Source organism: Homo sapiens, chromosome 2 (genome assembly GCF_000001405.40).
Source record: "Homo sapiens chromosome 2, GRCh38.p14 Primary Assembly".
Classification (NCBI taxonomy): domain Eukaryota; kingdom Metazoa; phylum Chordata; class Mammalia; order Primates; family Hominidae; genus Homo; species Homo sapiens.
Window position 1 is genome coordinate 108,399,026 of NC_000002.12, and position 19,655 is coordinate 108,418,680.

General features: G+C 40.5%; 2 annotated features.

Annotated features, from left to right (window-relative positions):
• Positions 4,433-4,933: an enhancer, noted in NCBI's record as "OCT4-NANOG-H3K27ac hESC enhancer chr2:109019914-109020414 (GRCh37/hg19 assembly coordinates)". NCBI's record gives its function as "activates a minimal SCP1, AML or CMV promoter by ChIP-STARR-seq in naive and primed H9 embryonic stem cells {active_cell/tissue: H9 hESC(naive and primed)}" and the evidence as "EXISTENCE:reporter gene assay evidence [ECO:0000049][PMID:30033119]".
• Positions 4,934-5,434: an enhancer, noted in NCBI's record as "OCT4-NANOG-H3K27ac hESC enhancer chr2:109020415-109020915 (GRCh37/hg19 assembly coordinates)". NCBI's record gives its function as "activates a minimal SCP1, AML or CMV promoter by ChIP-STARR-seq in primed H9 embryonic stem cells {active_cell/tissue: H9 hESC(primed)}" and the evidence as "EXISTENCE:reporter gene assay evidence [ECO:0000049][PMID:30033119]".

The window sequence follows — 19,655 nt, forward strand, 5'->3', positions numbered from 1 at the left end:
CACCCTGGCCCACCCTGCCCCCCATTCTGTATCCATTAAAACCCCAGACTCTATTGGCAAAGGATCAGAGCAGTGTGGCAGAGAAGGAGAGAAGCAGCAGCTTGACATTGGTGAGAAGCAACTTGACTTCAGAGTTATGGCTCAACAGCGAAACCTCGGAGAAGAGTTCGGCCGGCCAGGGCTGGCCGAACTCCAGGGTAAGACCACCTTCCCAATCCATCCCCTTGCTACCTCCCCATCCCACTGAAAGCCACTTTCATCAGCAGTGAAATCCTCCACATTTGTTATCTTCAATTTGTTCGTGCAACCTGATTCCTCCTGGTCACTAGACAAAGACCCAGGTATGGGTTCAAGAAGCTGTCACACTGACCCTCCACTGAGTTATCTAATAGTTAAGCCATTCATGGATGGCAAAGCTAAAACAGCACACTGTAACACATGCCCTCTGAGGCCCCAGGGGTCACAGGCTACCCCTAGACACTGCTATGGGCCCATATGGAGTTCTGTTCCTGCTGGCTACCCAGAAGTGTTCATCCTGGTCTCTGCACTCACTCACCTGCATGCTTTCCCTCCCATGAGGGGTTGAAAGCTGTGGGCTGAGCAAACAAGTCACTCGCTTCACAAGTCCCGTGAAGGGGTCAAGGGAACTATCTCCTTTCATCTGGGGGCTCATCCAGGATCCATCAGAAGGATGAGTACAAATGTGGAACTATCAGCTCTGTCTCTTTTCCAAGACACTGCCACCTCTCTGTTTCTTTCAGGGGAAAGGAATGTTGGCTTGATTTCCCTTCATGAAGGTTTAGCCATTGAGTGGGACCAGAAAAAGGTCCTGGGGCAACTGGAAGCATCAGCCAAGACCCCTAGATTTTCCTATAGTATCTTTCCTTCCTTCTTTCACAGTTTGAAATGGCTCCTGTCTCTTCTTTTATAATGTTAAGGGTTTTGCTACAAACTAGAGATATTAAGTAGAATGAGCTTTTGGCCCAGCCATCAGACATGCAATTCAGAACAATGTGATTTCCATTTGTTCTTAGAGGTGTCATCCCCACCCCCACCCCAAAAGCTGCAGGTATGCATGGTGTATGGTGGCTCCCCTCCTTACCCCCTCCCCTTCCAGCTTGGGCACCTGGGCATATCCACCACATGCATGTGCCATGCCCAGTGGCCAAGCAGAGCAGGAGTAAGCTGCACATGCCACCCAGACCCCAGGGCAATCTCAGAGGTCAGGGACCCTGTGAGCCCAGCTGCTGAGGAGCTCAACTCAGTCTGAACAAGGGAAGGTATACAGTGATTGAAGGAGCCCATTTGTACAGAGAAAGAGGTTCTTCCCCCAGGACAGACCCCCGCCTTTTTTTTTTTTTTTTTTTGCACTTTAAGCTATTTTTTTTCTAAGTGAGAATGTTCTTTTCCTACCTCAGAACTCTGCTTATGATAGGGAAACAACAGAGGAGTGACCCCTGGTGTCTGATGACTGCAAATTTGGCAGGGCCCATATGGGGGTTAATCTAAATGGACCCATGCACCCCCCTGAAATACCTTTTTTGTCCCAAACTCAATTCCAAGCTTTAGGTTGAAGCCTTAGCATGGAAAACCAGATCTGAGGGATCCAAAGCCAGGCAACAGGCACAATGTAAATGGGCAGGACTAATTCCTGCCAATTAAACTCCTGCTCCATGGAAGGAGGCCATGCTCCATGGCATAGATGAGGCCTAGGGAATTAAAGGTTGTCAAAAGTAGGGGGGATAGGTTAGTGCAGATAATTCCTATTCTCTAGGCTCTCCCTACTTCATGGGTGCAAGCCACATTGGCACCCATGGGTGAGCACCTGTCAAGGTCACCAGGAGTCAGGGATGAAAACATGGAAGAGAAAGTGAGGAACACCTGCTTTCTCTCTCCCTCACACCCTGAGTTATTGCTGAGAGAAGGAAGGAAAATGAGGGACATCTGTTTCCTTTCAGAATGGGCAACCAGCTATCCTCACCATCCCCAGTTTATACTCCTCTGGGGTGTATCCCGAATCTCTGGGACTGTTTGACCTTCAGACTCTGGAAGAAAATGCCTCATAGCCCTCTGCACAAAGGTTTGGCCAAATTATGACTTACAGGAAGGGCTGGCTTGGCCTCAGGAAGGAACCATTCATTTCAATACCATCCTCCCGTTGAACCTTTTCTGTAACTGTGAGGACAAATGATCGCAGGCCTCCTATTTGCAGGATTTCTACACCTTTCAGGGCAATAATCCAGACCTTTGCCAACAGTGTTAGGATTGATCCAGCCCTCCTGTTTGCCATCTTAGGTGAGGCTACAAGGTGCAATCCCAGGGAACTAAAGAAATGAATCCCAGAGGCACCTTCAGCAGGGGAGCCAGCTCCCTCCAGCCCTGCTTCTCCGGGTCCACCCCATCCTCAGTATCCAGCTTCTCTCTCTTGCTTGCCCCCTCCTAGAAATTCTCACCATAGACAAGCCCCAGTCTCACAGTTGTCCCTCCAAGATGCCAGAGAAATTGGAACTCCCTTTCAAACTGAAAGACACCTTTTTGTAGATGGTTCTTCTCAAGTGATAAAAGAGAAAAGGCCTAACAGGTACTCAGTGGTAGATGGAGACACCCTCACAAAAATAGAATCAGGAAGATTACCTAATGACTGCTCTGCACAAACACATGAGTTGTTTGCACTAAATCAAGCCTTAAAATCTCTGCAAAACCAGAAAGGAGCTATTCATACTGACTCCAGGTATGCCTTTGGAGTCATCCACACCTTTGAAAATTTGGGCAGAGCGAGGTCTCATTAACAGTAAAGGCCAAAACTTAGTCCATAGAGACTTAATAATCTAAGTACTAGAGAACTTACAGCTGCCAGAAGAGATAGCAGTTGTTCATGTTCCAGGTCACTAGAAGAATCTTTCCTTCGAGAGCTGAGGGAATAACATAGCTAACCAGTAGCCAAACAAGCTGCCTCTTCTCAAGCAGCACCCATTTTCCACCTAACCCCTTATCTTCCCGCTCCAGCTGTAGTCCCTATCTTCTCCCCCAGAAAGCAAGAAAAGCTAGAAGAAATAGGAGCCAAAGAAAGCCATGAGGGAAAATGGGTACTACCAGACAAGAGAGAAATGCTGTCTAAGCCCCTCATGTGAGAGATATTGTCACAGCTACATCAAGGAACTCACTGGGGCCCCCAAGCTATGTGTGATGCAGTCCTTAGAGTTTATGGATGCATAGGAATTTATACCTTTGCTAGACAAGTTGCAGATAGTTGTATATAGTGTGCAGAAAAAACAATAAACAAACCCTAACAGAAAATGGGAATACCACACACCATGGCATTCACCCTCATCAGGGAAAGTAGCAAAGCCTATTTCCCTGTTGAGAGTCCGAACTGCTCCCTGAAAAGATATAGGCCTATCCCCTTATGAGATGCTCTATGGATTGCCTTATCTACATTCTACTACTGGTCTTCCTACATTTGAAACAAAAGATCAGTTTCTCAGAAATTATATACTTGGTTTATCTTCCACTTTCTCTTCCCTCATAACTAAAGGTTTTTTAGCACAGGCACCACTCCTACAGTTTCCAGTACACCAACATCAACCTGGGGACCATATCCTCATCAAAAGTTGGAGAGAAGGAAAACTCGAACCAGCTTGGGAAGGGCCCTACCTAGTGTTTCTAACCACCAAGGCCACAGTTCGAACAGCAGAAAGAGGATGGACTCATCACACCCGGGTCAAAAGAGCACCACCCCATCCAGAATCATAGACAGCTATCCCAGCGCCAACTCCAACCAAGGTAAAGCTAAAACTGGTTTGATCCTCTTATGTTGCAACCCTTTCTTTTCCCCTTCTATTGTTAGTCCTCTCGTTATTAATGTAACTAGGTCGAGTTCACCCCGAACTATTACTTTTGATGCTTGCTTTGTGATGCCCTGCGGAGATTTGCCAAGCCAGAGGAAACTCTCCACTTCAGAAAAGTATCTTTGTCCTTCCTAGCTCTCCTCAGACTGGAAATCTGTTAGCTAGGATAAGTTAGTTTGGGAAGAGTTTGACAAAGATTCCAGTATGAACTGGGAATCTTGTCCTCCTAGAGCAGAGCTTCTCTGCTGAAGTTGGTCCAATGCTCTATGAAATACTAAAGAGCAAGGATGGACTGCCCCAACTAGTACTTGCAGTTTCTTGAAACCTTATATTCATTTTACTAAAGGAGTTACCCCTTCCAATTGTCAGCTGAACCAATGTAATCTAGTACAGATTACCATTGCTGCTCCCCAGAGTTCTTCCCCTCCATTAAGCTGTTTCTGTGGTATAGGAGTAGAAGTCTCAGGGAAGCACTCCATAGGATCCTTTGAAATGTGCTTCATGCTTCCCCACCTCCTGCACCCCCTTCTCCCTCTCCTAAGTTCTCCACTAACCAAACCTTCTCTTGTTATATACCCAATAATAAAACCAAAGTAGCTGTTGTAGAGGTTAAAGATTTAAAACAAACTATAGCGACTGAAACAGGGTATCAGGATGCAAATGCTTGGCTGGAATGGGTTAAATATTCTGTTCGCAAGCTAAACAAAAGCGACTGTTACACTTGTGCAACAGTTAGGCGAGAGACCCAAATTGTCCCCTTTCCACTTGGGTGGTCCTCTCACAGACGCGGCATGAGCTGTGTGGTAGCTCTCTTCCAGAACCCCACAGCCTGGGGCAATGAGTCATGCAAGAGTCTTTCACTGCTTTTCCTTGAGGTCAAGAGCCCTGCAGTCAGCCTCTGAGGGCCATCTGGCCTCCAGCCCCTGATGTTAACTTCACCTCATGCCTTTCACGGCAGGGGGACAAGTTAGCATTTCCTGGAGACTTAACAGGGTTCAGTAAAACCAGACCTTTTCAAGAGCTTACCAATCAGTCTGCCCTTGTTCATCCCTGAGCAGATGTGTGGTGGTATTGTGGGGGACTATTGCCGGGTACTCTGCCAAGTAATTGGAGCAGCATTTGCGCTCTAGTCCAACTGGCCATCCCTTTCACCCTAGCAGTCCGTCAACGTGACAGAAAAGAAAATAGTAAAAGAAGAAGTGCCCCACATAGGTCCTTTGACCCCCAAGTTTATGTAGACACTATTGGAGTTCCACAAGGAGTACCAGATGAATTTAAAGCCCAAAATCAAATAGCTGCAGGATTTGAATCTCCACTGTATTGGTGGTCAACTATAAACAAAAATGTAGAATTAGATAAATTACAATTATTATAATCAACAAAGGTTTGTTAATTACACAAAAGATGCCATTAAAGGAACACCTGAATGATTAGGCCCCACCAGTCAGATGATTTAGGAAAATAGCATAGCTCTTGATATGATGCCAGCAGAGAAAGGCAGGGTTTGTGTCATGATTGGAGTCCAATGTTGTACTTTTATTCCTAATAATACCACCCCCGATGGAACAATAAGAAAAGCCTTACAAGGCCTTACCTCCTTGTCAAATGAGTTAGCTAAAAATTCTGGAATAAATGACCCCTTTACAAGCCTCATGGAAAAATCATTTGGGAAATGGAAAGGAATTATGACCTCAATATTCACCTCCCTTGTAATCATTATAGGTGTGCTCAGTCTTGTAGGATGCTGTATCATACCCTGTACTCATGGTTTAGTGCAAAGACTTACAGAAACAGCTCTCAGCAAAACCTCCCATAGCTCTCCTCCACCTTATTCAGATAAACTCTTCCTTTTAGATGCCTAAGAACAACAACAGAGCTGAGATATGCTGAGGTGTTTTGAAGAGGAAAAGCTATAAAATCAGGTGTTTTGAAGAGGAAAAGCTATAAAATCAAGAGGGGGAAATTGACAGAGATAATAAATTCCTCTTCAAAAGGTTTTAATTCCCTGTTCTTCCGGTTCTTTGTTTCTCTAGTTTCTATAGTTACCCATGCTGTAAACAACCCTTCCTGCCCTTCCTGCACCTTGACATGCCCTGAGAAGCCTAGACATGCCTTGCACCGTAATGGATAGTCTTCCCCTTCCCACCTAGATAGCTGTGTTCAATTTCAAACATTAGCCAATCAGGTCAGTTTAGATTGTGTGGTCCAATCCTAGCCAACAGGGGAAAGACACAGCAGTAGGGACCAGATGCATTAAAAATAAGGATCCCTTCCTCTCCCTTGTCTGGTGTGCTCTCGCCATTGCCCCAACTGTGAGATGCACCCTTCTATAGAAGTAAATTGCCTTGCTGAGAAAACTTTTGCCTGAGTGCTATTTTCACTTGGTGGCACCGAGCATTTACTTCTAACAAAGAGGTTGCCAGTATATGACAAAAGTAGAGTTAGTAAACTAATATGCTTTGTACATTTTGTTTTACAAGTCCTAAGAAAGATTGTCTTCTGAAAATCTGAGCATTCTTGCCCATTGGATGGATGGAGATGGGAAGGGTTCTAGGCCAGAATGTTCACATTTGGAAGACTCTTTCAAATTATAACTGCTGTTACATGTTTGCAGTTTATTCAAGACTGCTGTGTACACAGTGGACAAATTAACCCCTTACTTGAAACACCTAGATGTTTAGAAGTGCCCAATGTATGTTAAATGTAGAGGTAGTAAAATACCACTTTGTAAATATTTTTTTGCTAAAATTCATAGGAAATACTGCCTTTTGGGAATTGAATTGTGAAGCCACCTTTGTAAGCAGTATAGTACTGTCTATACTTGTTCTTGTTCAATGGTTTAGAGGAGGTGGAGGGGAAGAAATTGCAAAAGGTAATAGGCTAGTGTGTTTGTACTTGGACATTTTCGACACCATTTTTCTGTACGTTTTGTGCATTTTGTTTTGTTCTGTATATAGTGTATATAATGGACAAATGAGTCCAAATTTTCAATATCTAGTCTCTAGATGTTAAAGAGGTTGCCAGTGTATATGACAAAGCATTTAGTAAAATTAGCATATTTTGTAAGCCTTGTGCTGAAATTCATAGGAAAACTTGTCTTCTGTAAATGACTTTTGCATAGGAATTTGTTCAACCATCTCTAAGCATTACACGTGCCTGTACTTGTCCACTGGATTGAAGGAAGAGAGGAGGGAATGATTCAAGGGCAAAATGGCAACATTTGGAAGATAACTCAGATGATAACCATTGTTATGTGTCTGCAATTTTATTTAATGATGCTGTGTACATGGTGGACAAGTTATATGAAATATCTAGCCTTTCTAGATATTTGGAAGTGCTTATTGTATTTAAAAGTAGTAGTAGAATAACACTTTTTGTAAATAGCTTTTAAAAACTGATGGGAAATGCTATTTGGAAGTGGAATTGTTTAACCACTTGCGAGGTGGGAGGGAAGAAACTGCAAAAGTCATTTTGCCATTGTTTATTAGAAAATTTCAGCTTAATCCGTTGCCTATATGGTACATGCATTTCATTTAACTTTGCTATACTGTATATATTGTATATATACTGGACAAATGAGGCCCGATTTTATAATATCTAGTCTAGATATTAAAGAGGTTGCCAATGCAAAAAAAAAAAAAAAAAAAAAAAAAACCTAGAGTAGAGAGTGTGTTCAAAGAAGAATCAAAGATCTTGAAAAGAGAGAGGTATTCTTGAAAGTGTTTGCCATCTATTGTCCTAGGACCCCAGGTTGACAGGTATAAATATTGAAGGAAAAAAACTAGAAAACAGAAATAGTGTCTCAATGCAATACTCTCAACTTTTATTATGTTTAATATGCTTGTTCTTGAAATCAATATAATAAAGATGGAGAAAATTTGTCCTTCATATTCTGCTTCTCAGAATCTTTGTGAAATGGAGTGAGATTCCTTAAAATAAGAAATGTTAGCATTGAGGCTTCTACAACAAAAGTTGCATAAAGGAACCAAATAATGAGAAAGTTAAATGCAAGGCACCTTTCCCTTCCTCTTTTCTCAAGCCACCCTCCATCCCAGAGAGTCGTGGTCTCACAGACATAGCGTTGGAGGCCTATGGGTCCCTCTGCTAGAAACTGGGACAGGCACGTCTCCTAAATCATTCCTAGGCAGTAGGCTCTCCCAAGCCCTTGTCCTGACAAGTCTGCGTAAGACCTTTAAAAGCAAGCTCTGATTGCAGAGTGTGTCAAAAATAACCCCATTTCAAAGACTGGATGCCTTACTTATCACTAGGGTGGGTGTCATGCTGTGGATGCTTTCTACCTCATGAAAAAATACATTAATTATCTGGCTTTTAGAATGTTCTTACTTGGATAAGAAATCTCCATATTACACATTTACCATCATTGTCTAGTGAGCACAAAATTTCTAGACACATTTCCTTGGTCCCCAGACATTCTGGCTTATGCAATATGAATCAACGGTCGGCTGGTGTCCCACTACAACTGTCCCAGGTTATTCTCACATCTAAGTGGAAAAAAATTAATTATTCCAATCAGTAAAAGACTCAAACAAGACAAAATGAGTATCAGACATGAAGAATACTTAGTAGTCTGAGCATTTTTATATGAAATATATAAATGATATGAAATATAATAGAGCAAATGCTCATGCACCTACCACGGACTTAAATAAAGCATCTAAGTACCTACCACAAACTTTAATAAAGCATAAAGCATTCCAGGGGAAGTTCCTTGGTACCACTCCCAGCAGCATCCCTTCCCCTCCTTCCTGAGTTATCTCCTTCTCTCTGAGTTTGGTGGTTCTCATTCCCATGCATTTGTTTATATTTTTAGTGCACATGCTTGCAGATTTAAATTATCCTACTATATGCATTCTTCAACAATTTTCTTTTTCTGTTCAACACTAGTTTGTAATATTCATCCATGTTCAAATATAGTCCTGGCTTATTTCTTTTCACCGCTGTGTAGCATTCCAGCATATGAATATAGTAACACAACTTATTTCTTTGTTTTATCACATACCACATTATTTACATATCTATTCTCCTATTGCTAGATGTTTAGGTTATTTCCAACAGTTTGCTATTACCACCAAAGCCACTTTAGACATTCCTCTTATGTCTCCTTGGGCACACACACAGTTTCCCTGGGGTATAAACCTAAGAGGGGAATTCCTGGATCATCATGCTATATACCTTCAGCATTGCTAGGTATTGCACAACTGTTTCAAAAGACATTAAACCTATTTCCACTTTTTTTACATGAAGCCTCACTCTGTCACTCAGGCTGGAGTGCAATGGTGCGATCTCGGCTCACTGCAACCTCTGCCTCCCAAGTTCAAGTGATCCTCCTGCCTCAGCCTCCTGAGTAGCTGGGATTACAAACACACACCACCATGCCCAGCTAATTTTTGTATTTTTACTAGAGATGGGTTTCACCATGTTGGGCAGGCTGGTCTCGAACTCCTGACCTCAAGTAATCCCCCACCTCAGTTTCCCAAAGTGCTGGGATTACTAGTGTGAGCCACAGCACCCGGCCTAGGTGAATATTTTTATCCTCTTATTTCATGACTGGTCAGTGGTTTAGAGCTGTCATTAGTTAAGTTCAATAGTCTTTGAAATTTTGTCCTTTGAGACGGAATTCTTGTTTCTTCTTTTGACTCATACGGGACTCAAAGCTTTCTGGTCTCCCCCATTTTTCTCACTTCATTCTTCACACTAAAATGCTCCCACCACTTCCCTCTCCCCTTTATAGATCTTAACAGCTCTCCACATTAAAATGCCTCCTGTTCTTTTTGCAGTAGTGAATTTCATAGATAATAAACCTAAGATACACAAAAAGGTAACTTTTTAAATTTTCCTATAACTAAGCTTAATTTCTGACAATCAGCCTACATGTTTTCCAAACCAGAAAATAAAACAAAATTAGTGTCCTGGTAAATGTGGTTAAATTAGTTATTACTAAGTTATTTCAGAAGTTGTTAGCCAAATTTAGAGTTCTGCTTTTCCCTCTCCTTCTTCCACGGAAAAAAAAATTTATGTTTGGAGGTAGAGGGTAGTTATTGGCATTACTGACAAACAACACTGAATTTACTAAAGTGGAGGCCATTTTTAACCTTGACAAGACCTATTTTGGTAGATTGATCACAAAAGTTCTGCCTGCAGAGACTGCAAGAGAGACAAGGAAATTATCTGGAGATGGTAAATATAGTCAACTATTTTAGGAGTTTACTATTACAGAGGGAAAAAATGGGCAGTATCTGAGGTAGAATGTGGCAGCAAAGTATAAAATGTGAGACATTATAGAAAAGAAAGGAAAACTGATGATGAGTGTGGGGTGGGAACAGACAGAACCCAGGAGTTCAAACAGTTCATCCCTAGTAACAGGAGGAAGGCAGGATATGCAGACACAGATGCAGATGGTCTGGCACAGGTAGCACCATTGTTAGGGTCAGAGTGCTGGAAGGAGTGCGTGGGAAAGATGGAAGATGGTGGTTAGTTGGTGAGATGCCTGTAATTGTGATTATGAAAAGTACCCGATTATTGGTAAAGACAAGTCCTAAGGCATGATCACTAAAGCAATCAACTGGGGGAGAGTGAAACACAGGAGCACTGAAGAAAAGAAGAGGTAGTCCGTGTGGTTATTAAAATCACCAAAAATTGAAAGGAGTGGCAACGAAGACTGAGGACCTAAACATGTCAAGATGTGAGGTGAAACATAAGTGACCCAGAAGCTGACAAGTGACCACAACAAGGAGGAGCAATCAATGAGTTAGTTTACCACCATACCACCACGGGTTTCCAGGGTCTGAATACATTCCACCCCTTGTGAACTGCCTTCTCTCTCTGAGTATGGCATCTCAAACACAGGCCCCCTTCTCTGAAATGGATACATTTGCAATGATGAGGTCTCCAGTCAGGCAGCCCACTTCAATTGTCTTCATTGCTATTCCCTCTTTGACATCTGAAGCAGGCCTAGGTTCTGTTGAGGCACACAGCCTCTACTCAGTCTTTCTCTCAGGAAGCCAGCTTGCCTTGCCTTCCTTGGAGTCCCTAGCTCTTGAGGCATGCAATTAAGTTAGGTAATGCACATAAATTACTTAACACAGAGCAAGCGATTTAGTCATCTCTCAGTGTTTGTTATTTTTAGTCTCCCATCTAGAAATTATCCTTCTTGAAAGATTCTTAGCATAGTGGTCAAATGAGGTCTGCAATCAGATTGCTCAGGTTCCAGACCCCACTCCAGTTTTCTCACTGTGTGAAATGTCAGCAATTTATTTAACTGCACCTCAGTTTCCTCCTCTGTAACTGGAGCTACTAATAGTAACTACTTCTCTTTTGCTTTAAGAATTATGTGAGTTAATGCATGTGAAGCACTTAGAAATGTGCTTGGGGCTGAGCGCAGTGGCCAACGCCTGTAATCCAGCATTTGGGGAGGCCGAGGTGGACAGATGACGAGGTCAGGAGATTGAGACCATCCTGGCTAACACAGTGAAACCCCGTCTCTACTAAAAATACAAAAAAAATTAGCCGGGCGTGGTGGCAGGTGCCTGTAGTCCCAGCTACTCAGGAGGCTGAGGCAGGAGAATGGGTGAACCCAGGAGGTGGAGCTTCCAGTGAGCGGAGATCGTGCCACTGCACTCCAGCCTGGGTGACAGAGCGAGGTTCCATCTCAAAAAAAAAAAAAAAGGCAAATGTGCTTGGGACATCATCTGTAACCAATGAAACCTAGCAATGATAATGGACATGATTATTATAATTACTGTAAATCTTTTCATAAAGTCTGTGTGAGGATTGATACTGCCCAAACCATGTCCTGTTCCTCAAAGCTTTGTGTTCCGTCTGCTTTTGAGTTATCTGGGCCCTCAGTGACTTGTGTGGCTTTCATGGGAGTAGAAACTTTGCTCTCAGCCTCCTCTTCTGCAGCGCTGGGATCTGGCTCCACTTCCTCTAGTGTCCATACACATCTGTGTTCTCCCCACCCCTTTCATACAGCCCCAGCTGAGTTTTTAAATCTTCAACCTACTACTTTAAAAGTTTGATTTTCCATCCTATCATTGGTGAGGCCAACAGCGTCTGTTCTATCAGTGAATACTCCTTCCCTTTTCCTTCATTCCCAGTGCTCTGGTTTTGGCACCATGAAGAGAACCTAAGTTTTTAAACTGCACCTTCCAATGTCATTCTAAGTGGCTGTGAACCATGGCAGTAGAAAGTATGCCTATACCTGAGGGCTGCTAGCTCACCTCTTCATTCTGACTGTCTTCATGGCAGGTACAATGCCGACACATGGTTGTGTGCTAGACCTCACTCATCACTAAGATGCTCAAAATCAACAAATCGCTACCATGGTCCAGTTCTTCTGTTACATACAGGTTCCCACGCTGCTGCAAATCTCACTGAATTCCGCTTGTCTACCTAATAGTTTCTAAGACTTTATCTGATACAGTTGGCCCTCCATATCCATGTGTTCCACATGCATGAATTCATCCAACCACAGATTGAAAATATTTGGGAAAAAATGGATGGTTGCTTCTGTACTGAACATGCACAAACTTTGTTTCTTGACACTATTACCTAAACGAGACAGTATAATAAGTATTTACATAGCATTTATACTGTACTAGGTATTATTTATAATTATAGAGTTGATTTAAAGTTATACAGGAGGTGGGGCTAGAAGCAGCGGTTCACACCTATAACCCTAGCGCTTTGGGAGGCTTAGGAAGGTGAATTGCTTGAGGCCAGGAGTTTGAGACCAACCTGGGCAACACAGCAAAACCTATCTCCACAAAAAAAAATTTTTAAATAAGCCCGGTGTAGTGGTACATGCCTGTAGTCTTAGCTACTTGGAAGGCTAAGGCAGGAGGATTCCTTAAGTCCAGGAGTTCAAATCTGCAGTGAGCTGTGAATGCCACTGCACTCCAGCCTGGACAACAGAGGGAGACTCTGTCTCTTAAAAAATACATAAATATAATAAAAGTATTTTTTAAAAATAAAGTATATGGGAGGATTTCAATAAGTTATATATAAATACTGCACCATTTTGTATAATGAACTTGAGCATTCATGGATTTTGGTATTCACAGGGAGTTCCTGGAACCAAACCCCCATAGATAATGGGGGACAACTATATATCTGAACATTGTAATTAAATATTTGTGCCTTGCAAACATAATGGTGATTATAAAGTAATTACTTTTCAGAGACACATATTTGGGTCTAATGTATAACATCTGATACAGCTTTATATAGTTCCTCAAATAAGTAAATTTCTAATTGGAGTTTGGTGATACTTTTTCTTCGTAAAATATATCATACTACAGCCCTAAATACAAGATAAAGATGTGAACTGAGTAGGCTATAAAGTTCCTTTCAGTTGTAACCTTTCTGTGATTCTAAACATAGGTACATTTTATGAATAATTTTTTAAATTCACCTTTTTTGCTAAAAATTATAAACAAGTCTTATTTATTTTGCAAAATAATTGAGCATCATCTAATCTATATTGGATGTGCTTTAATAATTTGGTAAAAATACAGCCAGGCATGGTGGCTCACGCCTGTAATCTCAGCACTTTGGGAGGCCGAGGCGGGCAGATCACAAGGTCAGGAGTTCGAGGTCAGGAGTTTGAGACCAGCCTGGCCAGCATGGTGAAACCCCGTCTCTACTAAAAATACAAAAAAAAATTAGCTGAGCATGGTGGCACATGCCTGTAGTCCCAGCTACTCAAGAGGCTGAGACAGGAGAATCGCTTGAACCCGGGAGGTAGAGGTTGGAGTGAGCCGAGATCACGCCACTGCACTCCAGCCTGGGTGATAGAGTGAGACTCTGTCTCAAAACAAAAATTGGTAAAAATACAATCATATGGTGACAAAATGAGCTAATTATTAATGTACACTAGTAAGTTAAGATACCATAAACAAGAAAAATAAGAGTGCTTTACTAAATTCTACATACTCTGAATTTTATGTCTAAAAATATTTAATTATTTTATTATTAATAGTGAATGCAGCTTACAAATTATTATTAAAGTAAAATTGGTGTTTGATGAGTACAACGGTAATATATCAATAGTTACTATATCCGTAATGTTCTTTTCCACCTCTGGTGCAATGTGAGCTCTTTGGAACATGGCCTTATCAGCTGCTGATTCTGGGACTCACTTGGCCCTGTGAGCATCCCTTTGGACTCTGGCCAATCAGCCTGAGGGAACTTTTGTTCTCAGTGGGCATTAGATATACGGAAAAAGAAAAAAAAAGACAGCCATCTTACCACAACTATTCTGAAAATTCAGTTGACTCACTTTTTAAAGTACAAAGACTATGATGTTGTTTTGTAATTGGGCTGAAGGGTAGAGTAAAGATGTTCTCAAAGATACCTGCAGGATATTTACAAAATTTTTTCCACAGTAAATCTTGTATGGGATGATTCATTCCTTCATGTATGCAGAAGTGGTCACTCACAAGGAAGAACTTCCCAGAGAGTAGAGTCAGGGATCATGGAAAACAGTGGATTAAAAAAGTCCTTCTCAGGCAGCAGCATTGGGTCTAATTGTGGAACTGTGCCCAATGTCAGGGCAGACAGGACTCCTCAGGCATTCCCTGCAGGGTGTCACCAAGTGCTGGATCAATGACTGCTGTGTGATTCTCATTCTTTCCTTTTCTCAGTGGAAGTACCCTATACCTACTATATCACTGTGTAATGTGTGGCTAGAATACAAAAACCTTGTCCTTTTGATTCAGAAGTTGGCCACACCCTGCCCTGTTGGAAAAATGACTGCAGTTCATCCTGAGATGCTCAACTTGAAGTGGCAGCCAGTAACAAGATGGGACTTTTGGGCTCTCGCCCATGGGGAGGGTGTCTTCTCTAAGTGGGAAGAAGGGGGAAATGGATATTTGGTATCCAGAAGGGTGAATTTGACTCAGATGGCTAGTTAACCACCACACCCATCTTCTCTCCTTCCTGGGCCCTCAGCAAGACAATATTCCTCAGTCTCAGACACAGTTGGATTTTTGCAACCCAAAAGAATATGAGTGACTCCCTTACTTGGCCCATAAAAACTTTCTCACAAAATCCTCCACCCCCTCTTCTCACATCTGCTGACTGGATGTCAACATCCAGGGCAAACAAGGAAACCAGGGGGGAGAAGATAGCAATAAACAGCTAGAAAATAGTAGCACTGAAATTCAAACTCAAATTTCACATTTGATAGATGGTCTTTAAACTAATTGCCTAATTAGCATATCTACTTGGATGCCTAATAGACAACTCGAATTTGTCCAAATATGTCCAAAACATAGGTTGTAAATATCCTACCTGATCTTCACCCCTAGCCTTCTTCCACCTTGATTAACAGTCCCACTATTCAGAAGTTACTCTGGCCTAAAACCTAAGAGTCTTCTTTAATCCCTCTCTTTCCCTCATGCCCACATAAGTGCAACAGAAAATCCAAGTTGTTCCTCAAAACTGGCACTAATTTCAAATGTTATCCTAAATCCGATCACGGTTCATCACCTCCTTTACAACCCCCTCACCCACAGCACTATCACCTCTGAACCACTACAAGGCCTCCTAAGAGCTTCCACTCCCCCACATCTGCTCCAATAGCCTCTTTACACAAAAAAGTCAGAATGACCTTCTTGATGCATAATTCAGATCATGTTTCCCCTGCTTAAAACCAACCAATGTCTTCCCATTTTGCAAACAACACAGCCCAAACTCAGCACAACCTTCAAAGCCCCCAGGGACTGGCCAAGCCCTCTTCAACTGCACCTTCTACTACATGACCTCAGTATGTTTGAGGAAAAGCAAGAAGGCGGAGGTGATTAGAGAATGGGAAGTGACTACTACCCACTAGTCATGACTCTCTAATCAACTTGGCCTTCTTGCTGTTTCTCAAACATGCCAAGATCATTGCCATCTATGTCAGTCAGGAATGCAACAGGACAATTCAACAAGGGATTGTTTACAAAGATGTGAGCAGCAAAACCAATAAGGAATGGTTAGTCTCCCAGGGCTAGCAACAGTGGAAAGCCATTTTAATTGCTAGAACTAAAAACAATTAATATTGTTCATTTATGTGCTTATAGCCTGTGTCTACAACTAATTCAACAAGTGAGAATTTCTCTGTCTTAATTACAATTGCATCTTTCCCCCTTCCCTGACCAGTGCCTAGCATAATGCTTAGTGAGTGGTAGATGCTCTGTAAATGTAGACCAGGCTGAAAGAACCGCTACACAATAGCTTCTTCTATCTTAGGCTCTTCTAGCCCAATCCAAATCTATTCAACAGTCAATTGTAGGATGTCCTTCTCAGTCCCTAAGCCAATGGGAAATATCCACTCTACTGGTGCCTTCTCTGACTGTGTCCTGGTCTTTAATTGGTGCTAATGTGCGTGTGTGTGTATATATATATATAAAATATATAATTATATATAATATATATAATTTTTATGTAAATTATATATAATTTATTATATATAATTTTATATTTATAATATTTTTATATACATATTTTATATATCTTTATAATTATATATTACATATATAATATTATATAATATATATAATATATATAATATATATTATATATTATATAATATATATTATATATATTATATATAATATATATAATATATATAATATATATAATATATATAATATATAATATATATTATATAATATATATTATATATAATATATATTATATATAATATATATTATATATAATATATAATATATATAATATATATAACATATAATAATATATTATACATAATTTATATATAATTTTTATATAATTATATATATTTATATATTTTTATATAATTATATATATTTATATATTTTTATATAATTATATATATTTATATATTTTTATATAATTATATATATAATTTTTATATAAATATATATAATTTTATATAATTTTATATAATTATAAAATATATAATTATATATAATTTTATATAATTATAAAATATATAATTTTATATAAACATATATTATAATTTATATATTTTTTTAATGTAAAGTGACAGAATAGCTTCATGAGGCCACTGTTCTTCAGATAGAGATCAGTTATTCTAAACACATAAGTCACCTTGTTTTAGACACTTCCCAAATTCACTCCTATAATAAACAATCAGGAATGAGTACACCTAAAACTCAAGCTGGACTTAAGAAATTAGACTATACCTGTGATTTCTAATATGATCCATAACTTGATAAAGATCTCAGTTTCTGGTTTAATTTTATATGAATAGAAACAAGGATTCCTAAAGGACTTTGAATAACGTGCTCTGAGAATTAAAAGATAAATTATCTAAGGGATACGATTATATCTTCTTCTGGGGTTCTAACAAAATTTTTCCGTCTTTATAGAAGGGTGTTTGGTTTACCAAGAGTAAAATTTTGATAGCAAGCAAAAGTTGTTTATCTTGAAATAGTGCACACAATGACCACATCTTTGAGAGAAGAAGATTGCCTGCTAATACCTTACCGAGTCTACTAAAAGATGTACCATATTAAATCAATAGATAGTGACTCATCTACAATGGAGTATGAATTACAGCAAATGACTGACAGGCCCACTCTTCTAATCTCCCAGTTGTGTTTATGTGATAGTCTAAATCACATCAGCCAACTATGGCCCTTTGGTCAAATTTATTTATTTACAAATAAAAAACTTTATTTGTAAATAAAGTTTTATTGGGGCCAGGCGTACTGGCTCACACCTGTAATCCCAGCACTTTGGGAGGCGGAGGCAGGCAGATCACCTGAGGTCTGGAGTTCGAGACCAGCCTGGCCAACACGGTAAAACCCCATTTCTACAAAAAATACAAAAATTATCCAGGCGTGGTGGCTCGTGCCTGTAGTCCCAGCTACTGGAGAGGTGGAGGTTGCAGTGAGCCGAGATTATGCCACTGCACTCCAGCCTGAGTGACAGAGTGAGATCCTGACTCAAAAAAACAAACAAACAAAAAAAATAAGTTTTATTGGAACACAGTTATGAGATCATTCACTTAAATATGTGTTGTCTCTGGCTGCTTTTGCACTACAACAGCAAGCAGAGTTGAGAAGTTGTGGAAGAGAACATATGGCCCAGAAAACCTAAAATATTTGTTATCTAGCCCTTTATAGAAACAGTTTAGCTTTCTAAAACAGAAAACAATTAGTCACTATTCCTAATGCTTGGGATGGGGATAAGGAGGAGCAGGGTCTGACAGCAGACGTTTCCAGGATGATATGGTATGTGGAATACGTGGTATGCAAAAATACAGCCTATATTTTTAGGCCATCTCTTGACTGTATCAAAGAAGTTCTTAAACTAATATGCAAGATTAATTGATGCTCTGTCAGACATTTTTGAAGTCCCCTACTGGTTATTTTTGTGGTCACTTAGAGGCCTGGAAATACTGATTCAAATTCCATGTTAACCATTTTGCTATCCTTACCAGGCTCACAGGTAATTGTTAGTATGTCCTTCTCAGCCCCTGAGCCAATGGCAAGTATTAGGCTGACTTGGTGTCAGCAGCACATTATCAACTCTACTGGTAAGGAGAGCGTGGTCTATTCCACCAGGTGGCATTCCAACATTCCACCTAGTGGTAGACTATCCACCCCAAGGGAGTTATGCAGTGGCCACGACTAAAGGCAGGCTGCAAACATGACAGCCACAAAAACAAGGTTGGATTTGCTTGGTGGCACCCCATGTTATGTGGCCCATGCATCTACCTATCTCTTCCTCCTTGTCTACTTCTTTCATGGGCCCTCAATGTTAAAACCAGAAAAGGCAGGTTGTTCTTGTCAAATTCTGTCATCAATAGGATCAGCTTATCTTCTTCACTGTTATGATTTTATTCAATCATAGGAGATACCGGGTGTGTTTTCTTATGAAGCTCAAAAATTAATTAAATGATGTGTGTATTCTTTCAACAAATATGCATTAACCTTCCAACTATGTAGCAAACACTTTCCCAGGCACAAGGAATAGAGTGCTAAACAAGACTAAGTCCCTGCCTTCAGGAATCCTTCATTCTAATAAGTATATTCTAGTCTTGCTCATTGAGAAAGATGTATATTGTGTTTTTAAGCAAATAAACCAGTAAATATAACTTTTAAGAAGGGATATGTGTCATGGAGAAAATAAAGCAGGGTCTAGGCTTATATAATTGTAGGGATGAGTTAATTTTAGTAAGGTTAGTCAGAGAAGGTATCTCTGAAAAGATTGACTTGAGAAACCAAGGTGAATACGGATAGAAAGAATAAGAAATGCAGCTGAAGAGGTGGACAGGGTCATGGGAAGGAGTTTGAATTTTATTTTAAAGGTGTGGAGAAGCCAGCAGAGGATTGAGGCAGGAGAATAAAATCATCTGACTTGATGTCTAAAAGTAAAACTATGGTTGCTGCATGGAAAATAGAAAGTAAGCAGTAAGAGTGAATGCAGTTAGATCTGCTTAGGAAGCTGTTCTAATTGTGGCTGGGAATGCAGGGGTGGTGATGAAGATTACTAGCAGTTGGATTCCATATATATTCTGAAGATAGTTCCAGATAAATTAGATGTGGGATAAGGAAAAGAAAGGAATCAAGGATGACTCCTAGGTTTCTGATCTGAGAGCTGTGTAAGTGGTTAAGTGGCCACATTTTAGCCACGTCTTCTCAGAAGACCTTGTCCCATATCTTTGTCCCTATTCCCACGTACTGGCTCAGTGCACAGCACTCAGTGATGACAACCACCACCCACATTGGGCTTAGGGGACGGTGCACATTCACACAGTGTGGGTGGTAGTTTGTCTAAAAACCCAAGTAT